We start from the raw sequence: 12,452 nt of genomic DNA, 5'->3' as shown, positions 1-12,452 counted from the left end.
AGCCTCTCAAAGTGCCGGGACTACAGGAGTGAGCCACCATGCCTCGCTGTATTGTGGTATATTAAAGAGCGTGTGCTTTGGAGTTTAATTACTGACTCTGTCACTTCCAGCTTTGTGACTTTTGGCAAATTACTTAATATCACTGAGCTTTAGTTTACTTGTTTTGTAAAGGCAATGTATGTAAAGCATTTACTACTGTGCCTGGAATAGGGTGGGTGTTCAATGTACATCATCCTCTGTTTAAACCACAGTTGTGATATTAATAACTGATTCTCACTTATACTGGAGAGTCTCTACAAAAAAGCAGACTCAACCTATTATTAAGACTGCATCTGTAAGTAACTTTGCTAGTACCAAGAGTTCAATCTTTTCACAGTGTCCTGACTATAAAGGGAAAGTTTTGAAAATGTGTTTCTTCAGTTAAAATAATAGCAGCTAACACTTACTGTTTGCTTACTGTGTACCAGTACTCTTCTAAGTTCTTTATGGATATTAGCTCATTTATATCACAACAACCACCATATTTGGTAGGTTCTATATTCTGTTATTATCTCTATTTTAATAGGATGCAGAAACTGAGGTACACAGAGATTAACCATGCTCAAATTTACACTGGGCTGTAAAGCCAGGCTGGTGGAGCTGGGCTCCAAAACCAGGCAGTCTGGCTCTGTGATCTGCATTCCTGACCACTTGCCTAAATTATTAAAACATTTTTGTGTACATTTCTACTGGATGCATTGTTTAATGGTGGAACATTTGGAGAATACTTCATAGTTATTTTACTCTTTTAAAACACTCCACCCTCCAAATAGTTGTTACTGTTGAAATGATTGAAATACTTATTTTGGAATTTCAATATATTCCTCTATTTTCAATAAAATGAAATTACTTTCAATAAGAATATATGTTTGGTTAGAAAGGTAACAAAATGCTTAGGTGTTAAAGAAATGATTTATAAAAATAGACATTAGACATGACCCTTTTAAAGACCTTTAAAATTATTTTGTTACTGTGTGTGTTGTTTTCAATAAATAACACCACCTAATTGGACTAAATATTTTGTTAGACATACAAAAGAAGTTCTTCAAATTTGGATTTCTTTCCATGTTGAAAGAGGGGAGCTCCTTGAATGCTATAGAAATGTATTGTGGTTGATGGCTTTTCTGTGTTTGAATTTGTTCCAGCTGTGCTACAGTGCTGTTCTCCTACCCACATGGATGCTCTAAGTAGTTGTGTCACTCCCACTGCCTCTTCCTATGCACACTGCAACTACTTCCAGGTAAGATTCTTGCAACTGTGGCCATGCTCCGCGCTTTATGTGCAATTTTATCGATATTGCAAAATTTCAAAGTGTAATTTTATATTAATGAGTAACCAGAAGTAAGCTGTGGATTAATGGGCTTTGTTTTCTCAATTCTTAAAAAAAAAAAGAGAGAATTGATATAAATAATATCTCAGAATTCTTCTAGGCCAGAACTGTTCAATATAGTAGCCACTAGCCACATGTGGCTATTTAAGCTAATTAAAATTAAATGAAATTTAAAAATTCCTCAGTTATACTAGTCACATTTCAAGTACTCAATAGTCTCATATGGTTATTAAAATTAAAATTAAATTGATTTAAAAATTATTCCATACTTAACGTAGACACATTTTGAGTGCTCAGTAGTTTCATATGGCTTATGGGTACTGAATTATACAGCACAGATCTAGAACATTCCCATCATTGCTGAAAGTTATTTTAAACAGTGCTGTTCTGGATTTTTCCAAGGTAAAATGAATACCAGATAAACGCTACAAGTGTGTAAGTCACCAAATGACAGATTCTTCCAAGATGATACAGATAAATTAGACTTTTCTTTTTAAGGAGAAAGGAGAAAAATGTCAAAAATGAGAAATTTAAGTGGTGGCCCCCTTCATCCATAGCCCCTATGTTGTAAACACCATAATGGTTCAGTATCCCTTAGTCAAAATGCTTGGGACCAGGAGTGTTTCAGATTTTGGATTTTTTCAGATTTTGGAATATTTCCAAAAACATAATGAGATATCTTGGGAATATGACCCGAGTCTAAACATAAAATCTAATTATGTTTCATATATACCTTATGCATATAGTTTAAAGGTAATTTCATGCAATATTTTTAGTAACTTTGTTCATGAAACAAAGTTTGTGTTAAGTGCTTTTCTGCTGGAATTTTCCACTTGTGGTATCATGCCAGCACTCAAAAAGTTTCAGGTTTTGGAGTATTTGAGATTTTAGAATTTTGGATTAAGGATGCTCAACTTTTACTTCAAATATCTTCTCATTGTTTCTTAGGAGACACTTGCTTGGAGTTAAACGTTTTATATAGCTATTTTAAGGATACTTTTAAATTCCATGCTTTGTATTTTTATGCTGTAACTGCCAAAGATTGGAATTGTGTGTTTGCCTTGGATAATCATCTAGCCAAGATAGTTTCAAGATAGTCTCAGTTCTTAGGAGAATATCTTACTAGTGGCATTAGGGTACTCAAAAGAACATTCCCTTTTTTTTTTTTTTGGAGAAAATCTACATAGGAAGTCAAATTATAATCAGATTGTTGTTTGGAGTATAGAATGAGATCAAGGGGACTTAGCTGGCCATTTTTCATGGCTGATATGATCAAGCATGATATCCTAGCCCATTCATCTTCACTGGAGGGACATACCTATCCCACAGTTAGATGCTCTTGTTTGTGGGTCCAGGCACTCTCTTCTCTGGATCATGCTGGAGATACTATGGCAGTGTTTATATCTTGATTATGTTGTGTGCTAAATAAAACATTTTTATAAAGACCTTTTCTTGTTATAGAGACAATATATGGCCGTGTACAATGGGTCATGCCTTATAATCCCAGCTCTTTGGGAGGCCATGGTGGGAGGATTGTTTGAGGCCAGGAAATTGAGATGAGCCTGGGTAACATAGTGAGTGAGACCCTATCTCTTAAAAAAAAAAAAAAAAAGAAAAGAAATAAAGGAAGGAAGAAGGAAGGGAGGGAGGGAGGGAGGGAGAGAGAAAGGGTGGGTTAGTTGGATGTAGTGGTGCATGCACCTTTTGTCCTAGCTTGGGAGGCTGAGGTGGGAGGATCAAGCGATCCTCCCACCTTGAGGAGTTTGAAGAGTTTGAGGCTATAGTGAGCTATGATTGTGCCACTGTATTCCAGCCTGTGCAACACAGTGAGACCCTGTCTCAAAAAAAAAAAAAAAATCTGCCAGGCGTGGTGGCTCACGCCTGTAATCCCAGCACCATTTTGGGAGGCTGAGGTGGGTGGATCACTTGAGGTCAGGAGTTTAAGACCAGCCTGGCCAACATGGCGAAACCCTGTTTCTACTAAAAGTACAAAAATTAGCTGGGCATGGTGGTGGGCGCTTGTAATCCCAGCTACTCAGGAGGCTGAGGCAGGAGAATCGCCTGAACCTGGGAGGTGGAGGCTGCAGTGAGCCAAGATCGTGCCATCGCACTCCAGCCTGGGTGACAAAAGTGAAACTCTGTCTCAAAAACAAAACAAAAAATTTTAAAAAGACAATACGTGTTCATCATAGGAAAATAGCAATAAGCACACATAAAATTTTGAAATAGAAAAATGGGAAAGTGTTTCAGATTCCATCCTGAAAATAAATGCAGTTGGTTTAGTTGGACTGTAGGTATGGGTGAGAGTGTGCGTGCACAGTCAGTACATTGTATTGTTTAAGAGCAAGAGCTCTTGAATACGGCAAACCTAGGCTTGAAACCTGGCTCTGTCAGTTATTTCATTGTAACTTTGGGTAAATTAGGAAGTTTCTGGACCTCAGTTTTATCATTTGAAATGGAGATTATCACATTTCACAGGGCTCTTTTGAAGGTTGGATGAAATCTATATAAAGCACTTTGCATGTGCTTGGCACATAGTAATAACTCAATAAATGTGCTATTGGCTATAGTCACTTAGTGCTTATACCATTTGAATTTACATTATTTGGCATTAGTGGCCTTCTGAAAATCTTTGACAATCTTTGTTAATGATTGTGTTTAGCAGCATCAACTCACTACATACTTTCTTTAATCATAACTCTTCTGTATTTTAAGTTTATAATCTGATATAATCAGCAAACATTTATTGAATGCCTACTCTGTGCGAAGCTCTTCATTGTGCAACATCAATTCATTACATGTTTTATTTAATCATTCTTCTGTATTTTATGTTCACAGATCTTTATCACCAAACATGTATTAAATGCCTACTCTCTGCAAAGCAGTATATACAAGGGAATATATCTTAAAGATGTAAATCTAAAAGCAACAGCCATTTTAGTCTATTGCTTTGTTATTAAAAATAAATAATCCCAGGAAACAAAGGACATTTGATATTCCATCCATTTTTCCCCATATTATTTGGAACAGAATATTAGTACCGCTCCCTGAATCTGTAGAAGGATTGGTAGACTTGTGAGCATCCTGTGTTTGAAATTTCCTTACTGCATTCCTGAAACAGTATATGATAGATACAAATTATGTTTCTGTCTGTCAGCCTTTATGGAAGAATTTGGTGTATAGATGCTTTATCAGCAAATAGGTATTTGGGTACTATAGCTTTTGATTTTGTACAGTTTAACCTTAAGAATTATTGACCATTGGAGTATTAAACTTAGCAGAGTGGTTGACATGTAGTATATACTAAGTAAATGCTAACAGTAGATTTGAAGCTACTATTGCTGAAAAGTAGATTAGTGTCTAGGTTTTCTTAGTGATCTTTAAGTTTAATCTATTTATGTTTAGCACTCATCAGCCTAAATATTGTAGCTTTCCTCCTTAATCTCATATTTTATTTTCTATCCAAACAGTTATATTTTTTCTTTTCCCAGAATCCTTCAATGCAGTCCTCCTATCCAGTTGAATTTTTGCCTTCCAATTGGCCCTGCAGTACTACTGATGAAAATACAAAGACAGAAGTAAACCTAGAGGCTGTCTTTCAGATAGTTGATGAGTTGCATTCCTCCCCTAAATTGGAGATGGTAAAGGTGGAGCCTGTTGAGAATCAGTGCCCAACATCTCCGTCTTACAGAGGCCAACACATTTTAGCTAATTCTAACAACAGCAATCCATGTTCTGCAAGTCAGGCTAGCCAGCTGGAGCCACTTACTCCTGTAGGCTCAGATATTATGTCTTTTGTGGTTGGAACAGAACAAGCAGTTGCCTGCTCTCTACCACAGTCACCTGAGTACATCTATACCATCCACACAGCTCAGCCTGTTGAAAATAGCACAATACAGGAATCTGCAGCCATCCAGCAAGCTCATGTCAAACTGAAGGAGCACCTAAATCATAATCCATCTCCATCTTCAGTAGTATTTGTGCAGGAAGGGCCACCATTCAGCACACACCAGGTAAGGGGGCAAAGAAAAAAATGCTTATAAAGCTCAAAGTACCTAGTACTTCTGCTAAAGACTATTCTAGTGGAGAGTTTGTTCAGATTTTATTTGGGTTTAATACCAGTTCATTATGGTTTCCAGGAGGATCATGTCCCAGTGGTTCTGCACAAAAGATTCAGAAAGAAGTTACCTTAACCCTTAAGCATCATCTCACTATATTATGCATGGTCTGAAGTCAACCTCTAAAGAGAGGTTGTCTAATTGAGCGTTGTAGTATGAAGCTTATTTTCATGTTATAAACATCTCTTGAGTTTTTGCTTCCTATCTTAATTTGGATAGATTAGATATGCCTGGCTGATAATTCTATTACCCAGGAGGGATGGTTTATTTGACAGATATTATGATGACTTTCCTAGCCATTTGTAGCATGGAGGTAAGGAGATGGTTGGAAGTCTTTTCTAACTTTATTACAGCATCATTGAACTGTAACTTGTGAGCATACTGTGTTTGAATTTCCTTACTAATATCTGCACTCCTAAAGCAGAAGGTAAAGGCTAATTCCTTTATTGCCACTAGTTTATTACAAGAAAATGAATAAACTTTAATTCTGAATAATTAGTAAGAATAATTCATCAAAAGTACATCCACAGAAACAAAGTCAAATAGCACGTTCTCATTTTATAAGAGGAAGCTAAATAATGTGTACACACTGAACATACAATGTGGAATAATAGACACTGGAGACGTGGAAGGATGCGGGAGTGGGAGGGGGAACGGAGATGAGAAATTACTTAGTGGGTACACTGTACACTATTCACCCAAAGCCCAGACTTCACCACTATGCAGTATATCCATGTAATAAAACTGTACCTGTGCCTCTTAAAATAATACCAAAAAAATCCAAATTAAAAAGAAATTTTTTTTTTTGAGGTGGAGTCTCTCTCTGTCACCTAGGCTGGAGTGCAGTGGTGCAATCTCAGCTCACTGCAGCCTCCACCTCCTGGGTTCAAACGATTCTCCTGCCTTATCCTCCCAAGTAACTGGGATTACAGGCGAGCCACCATGTCCAGCTAATTTTTGTATTTTTAGTAGAGACGGGGTTCCACCATGTTGACCAGGCTGGTCTTGAACTCCTGACCTCAGGTGATCCACCTGCCTTGGCCTCCCACAGTGCTGGGATTACAGGCATGAGCCACTGTGCTTGGCCCCAAATTAAAATCTTTTTTTGTGTGTGAATTAAGTATTTTTTCCTACTTTTTATTTTTTTCTTGATCTTAGCCTGATATGTGTATATATTTTTTTTCCATTTTGGATTTTTTCTTCAATAGGACTGAAACTCTGTTCATTGTTAGAAAGTCCCAAGATAACTTTTGGCAGGTTTTTGTTTTTTGCAGCCTTTTTTAGCTCTATTTTTAGATCCAAATGTCTTAAATTTATATCACCTCATTTTTTTTTAGCCTGACTGTCAAGATCTAGTATATTGTGTTAAGATAATATTGTAAATTCAGTAGACAAAATATAGGCCCATTATGGTTTGTTGTTGTTGTTGTTGTTGTTGTTGTTGTTGTTGTTGTTGTTGTTGTGAGATGGAATCTCGCTCTGTTGCTCGGGCTGGAGTGCAGTAGCGCAATCTTGGCTCACTGCAACCTCCACCTCCTGGGTTCAAGGAATCCTTCTGCCTCAGCCTCCTGAGTAACCAGGATTACAGGTGTGTCCCCCCAGGCTGGCTATTTTTTTGTATTTTTAGTAGAGACAGGGTTTCACCATGTTGGCTGGTGTTGAACTCCTGACCTAAGGTGATCCGCCCACCTCGGCCTCCCAAAGTGCTGGGATTACAGGCGTGAGCCACTGCACCTGGCCCCATTATGTTTTAAATATATTTGTAGAACACAGAATTTGTCTTTGTTCCTTCATAGTCACATCTGAAATATTTCAGATCTTAAAACTGCACTTGTACACAGTAACTTTTTCATTAACAAATATATCTTGGCCAGGCGCAGTGGCTCACGTCTGTAATCCCAGCACTTTGGGAGGCCGAGGCGGACAGATCATGAGGTCAGGAGATCGAGACCATCCTGGTTAACACGGTGAAACCCTGTCTCTACTAAAAATACAAAAAATTAGCCGGGCGTGGTGGTGGGTGCCTGTAGTCCCAGCTACTCGGGAGGCTGAGGCAGGAGAATGGCATGAACCCAGGAGGTGGAGCTTGTGGCGAGCTGAGATCGCGCCACTGCACTCCAGCCTGGGCGACAGAGCGAGACTCCGTCTCAAAAAAAAAAAAAGTATGTGTGTGTGTGTGTGTGTGTGTGTGTGTGTGTATATATATGTATATAAAGCTGTGTTTTAAACTTTTTATTTCATTATATAATTTTATTTTAAAATAAATTCATAAAGAAATGGAGTATTTCAGAAGTTGATCAACTTGACAAAGGGATTTACATTCCAAAGAAAATTTAGGAACTGTAAGAAAGAAACTTAGGCTAGGCATAGTAGCTTATGCCTGTAATTCTAGCACCTTTGGAAGCTGAGGTGGGAGGATCGCTTGAACCCAGGAAGTCCAGACTGGTCTGGGCAACATAGTGAGAGTCTATCCCTACAAAAACATTTTAAAAATTAGCTTGGTGTGGTGGCATACACCTGTGTCCTAGGTACTTGGGAGGCTGAGGTGGGAGGATAGCTTGAGCCTGGGAGGTCAAGGCTGTAGTGAGCCGTGATCACACCACTACACTCCAGCCTGGGCAACAGAATGAGACCCTGTCTGAAAGAAAGAAATTTGTATTTTATAAACAGGGCAGATATAGATTTTATAGGGGCTAAAGCTTATACAATTTTGAGGGCCTCTTTAAGAGAAAGAATACAAAATTAGTAGAATAAAGTATCCACATCCCACTGAAACCATCTAACAGGATCATGCCTATGGCCATTCCAACAGGAGAGGAAGTCTGATAGAACATATTCTACAGAGAAAAAAGATGGTTTTAACCAATCATGGTGAAACTATCTTACTTTTGGTCAGGTGTGGTGGCTCACGTCTGTAAACCCAGTGCTTTGGGAGGCCCAGGTGGAAAGATCCCCTGAGACCAGGAGTTACCAGCCTGGGCAACATAGCGAGACCCTGTCTCTACAAAAAAACCTTTTTTTTTTTTTTTTGAGATGTAGTCTCACTCTGTTGCCCAGGCTGGAGTGCAGTGGTACAATCTCGGCTCACTGCAACCTCCATCTCCTGGGTTCAAGCGATTCTCCTGCCTCAGCCTCCCGAATAGCTGGGATTACAGGCACCTGCTACCACGCCCGGCTAATTTTTTGTATTTTTGGTAGAGACAGGGTTTCACCATGCTGGCCAGGCTGGTCGAGAACTCCTGACCTCATGATCTGCCCACCTTGGCCTCCCAAAGTGCTGGGATTACAGCTGTGAGCTACCGCGCCCGGCCTACAAAAAAACTTTTTAAAAATTAGCTAATACCTGTAGTCCTAGCTGCTCAGGAGGATCACTTGAGCCCATGAGCTCGAGGTTACAGTGAGCTATGATTGTACCACTGTACTCCCGCCTGGACAACAATGTGAGACCCTGCCTTAAAACAAAAAAAAAAACCTGTACTTTTGTAAGTTAAAAAAAAATCAACAAGCTTCATGGTAGATATTCCTCTGATCATAAGTAAATGTTTTAGCTCCATATACATTTTAATAGTTTGTGTAGGGAGAAAGGTATAGTATCAATAATAAGAATGAAAAGCCTTATAAGCTTGTTTGTTGGATCATGTTCCCATAATAGAACTCCTCTGATAAAATATCTTAACTTTTAGCAGATATTTGGAGGAAATCTCAAATAATGAATGGGTTTAATATTTTAGGTGGATGCCAACATAAAATGCCAGACCAGTTCACGTGAGAATATCTTGCCGTCAGAACAGATGGGATTCCTCATTTCAGAAATGGGGCCTGCTAGCAAGCCTAGTGAAGACACAGGTTTAGCCACTCCAGCCAGATACAGAGAGCACAGAAGCAACTCACAACAAGGAAAGTCCCCTGGTAAGGATTATTGTGCTCTAGAATGCCAGAAGTAGAATCACGCTGTAGAATTAATATATGAATGACATTTTTTCTGGGTCTCCATTTATTATTCATAATTGTATTAGACCTGTCACATTGCTGTTTTTACATAGCTGTAATTTTAACTCTATATTTGTTCTTAATTATTGTTGTGAAGTATGTAATAGTTATTTTCTTAATATTGCATATAATGATTTGGGCTTTGAAAATATAGAACATATTAAGAATAAGCAAAGGAATTTAGATTATTTAACTTGGAGAAGGCAAGGATGAAGGATGATTTAATAAGTATCCTCAGATGCCAGACTTCGAAATTGTAGTTGTACTTACTCTGTTATTAACAGACTCTAGGACAAGAGGGCATGCATTTATATTGTGACAAGAGAAAATCAGATGGAAATTTAGGATATTATCCTGAGCGCATTTTAAAGATACTATAAAGTATGACCCTATACCAATGAATGGTTTGTTATTCTTGTGGTTTGTAAGAACCCAGAATAAGTGATTGTTTTAGGCACATACAGTTGATTCTAATAAGACAAAATCATATTTTTTGAAGAAATAGTAACATCTAATAAAACATGTGTCTCATATCATCCAAAAATCAAGTTACCAAAGTCTGCAGTGGACAATTTTAATATTCTAGAATTATGTTCATGTCAGGGGCATGCAGTGCAGGCAGAATGACAGTGTAGGTTAAAATGACAGACCATCATTTTAACCTACAATAATTTGAAAAATGTTGAGAACTTCTGTGAGAATTTTTCCAAAAAGTAAATTAATAGTGATATGATCATGGTGTAGCTCAGACTCATAGGGTTCTTTCTGCAAAATGTCTTTTAGGCTAAAAACTGTCTATCATTTATTCACTAAATTTAGCTTGCACACTTTTAGTTGATTATATTTTCCAATCCATAATTAAAGACTAAAGATTTCTTACCACTGAAGGTGTTTAACACAATGGCATGAGCCTTGAAGGCAATTTAGATGAGAGAAAGGCAGGAACTAACATTTACCGTATCCATTTTTGTGCCATAGGACAAATCTGTTGGAAGTGGCATTGTCATTTTAAACATCAGGAAATTTAGGCTTAGAGTAAGTAACTTGTTCAAAGTCACATATAAATTTGTTTTATTTTTTCATTTTTTAGAGACAGAGTCTTTCTCTGTTGCCCGGGCTAGAATGCAGTGGCGCATCTTGGCTCACTGCAGCCTCCACCTCATAGATTCCAGCAATTCTCATGGCTCAGCCTCCCGAGTAGCTGGGACTACAGGTGCGTGGCACCACACCCGGCTAATTTTTGTATTTTTAGTAGAGATGGGGTTTCACCATGTTGGCCAGGCTGGTCTTGAACTCCTGGCCTCAAGTGATCCACCCACCTCGGCCTCCTAAAGTGCTGGGATTACAGGCATGAGCCACCATGCCTGGCCCTTTTTTCTTTTCTTTCCTTTTCCTTTTCTTTATTATTATTATTATTTTTTTTTTCTGAGACAGAGTCTTGCTCTGTTGCCCGGGCTGTAGTGCAATGGCGTGATCTTGGCTCACTGCAACTTCCACCTCCCAGGTTTAAGTGATTCTCCTGCCTCAGCCTCCTGAGTAGCTGGGATTACAGGCACACTCCACCACGACTAGCTAATTTTTGTATTTTTAGCAGAGGCAAGGTTTCCGCCATGTTGGCCAGGCTGGTCTTGAACTCCTGACCTCAGGTGATCTGCCTGCCTCGGCCTCCCACAGTGCTGGGATTGCAGGCATGAGCCACTGCACCCAGCTGCCTTTTTTCATTTTTTATAGAGATGGGGTCTCACTATGTTGCCCAGGCTGGTCTTGCACTCCTAGGCTCAAGCAGTCCTCCTGCCTTGACCTCTCAAAGTGCTGGGATTATGAGCATGAGCCACCATGCATGGCCAGTCACATATAAACTAATATTGCTAATATCCTACCCTAAGTTGTCTGCCTGTAGAGCACATATTCTTTCCTTTTAATTTTTTATTGTGTTGAAGAACATGTAACATAAAATTTATCATTTTAACCATTTTTATTTTTAATTTATAATTTAAATATAATTGTACATATTTATGAGGTACAATGTGATTTTTTGACACATGTATATGTAGTGTAATGATCAAATTGAGATAATTACCATATCCATCACTCTAAACATTTATCATTTCTTTGTGGTGATAACACTCTAAACCTTTTCTTCTAGCTGTCTTGAAATATACACTACATTGTTATTTGCTACAATTATGCTACTGTGTAATAGAATACCAAAGCTTATTCTTCCTATCTAACTACAACTTTTGACCAACTTCTCCCAATATCCCCACTTTCCTACTTTCCCCAGCCTCTGGTATTTACTATTCTACTTTCTTCTATGAAATTAACTTTTTTAGCTTCCATATATGAGTAAGATCATGTAGTATTTGTCTTTCTGTGCCTGGCTTATTTCACTTAACATAATGTTCTCCAGGTTCACCTATGTTGCCAAAAATGACAAGATTTCATTCTGTTTTATGGCTGAATAGTATTCCATTGTATATTTATGTACGTACGTGTGTGTGTGTGTGTGTGTGTGTGTGTATATACACACACACATATATATATATACACACACACATATATATATATATATCACATTTTCTTTATTCATCTGTAGATGCGTATTTAGGTTGATCCATATCTTGGCTATTGTAAATAGTGCTGTGGTAAACACGGGTGTGGAGATGTCTCTTCAACATACTGATTTCATCTTCTTTGGAGATACATCCAGTAGTGGGACTGCTAAATTATATAGTGGTTCTATTTTTAATTTTTTAAGAACCTTCATACTGTTTTTCTATAATGCTATGCTAACTTACATTCCTACAAATAGCATATAAGAGTTCCCTTTTCTCTGCATCTTTGCCAGCATTTGTTATTTTTTGTCTTTTTTATAATAGCCATTTTAACTGGGGTGAGGTGATATTGTGGTTTTGATTTGCATTTCTCTGATGATTGGTGATATTGAGCATTTTTCCATATATCTGTTGGTCATT

At 38.1% G+C, this 12,452-nt stretch overlaps 1 protein-coding gene across 2 annotated transcripts in view; it reads left to right on the top strand.

Annotated features, from left to right (window-relative positions):
* HSF5 (heat shock transcription factor 5) overlaps nt 1–12,452 on the top strand; it is a 68,242-nt gene that overhangs the window by 20,245 nt on the left and 35,545 nt on the right. Inside the window, exons 3-5 of one of the 2 annotated variants that reach the window (NM_001080439.3) lie at nt 1,185–1,279; nt 4,861–5,382; nt 9,219–9,396. In NM_001080439.3, the coding sequence (NP_001073908.2) occupies nt 1,185–1,279; nt 4,861–5,382; nt 9,219–9,396 (795 nt within the window). Of the gene's footprint in view, nt 1–1,184; nt 1,280–4,839; nt 5,383–9,218; nt 9,397–12,452 lie in introns of both variants that reach the window. The other variant, XM_011524283.2, reaches the window with a different exon arrangement.

Source organism: Homo sapiens, chromosome 17 (genome assembly GCF_000001405.40).
Source record: "Homo sapiens chromosome 17, GRCh38.p14 Primary Assembly".
NCBI lineage: Eukaryota > Metazoa > Chordata > Mammalia > Primates > Hominidae > Homo > Homo sapiens.
Note: the sequence above shows the minus strand (reverse complement) of the source record. Positions and strands in the feature narration are given on the sequence as shown.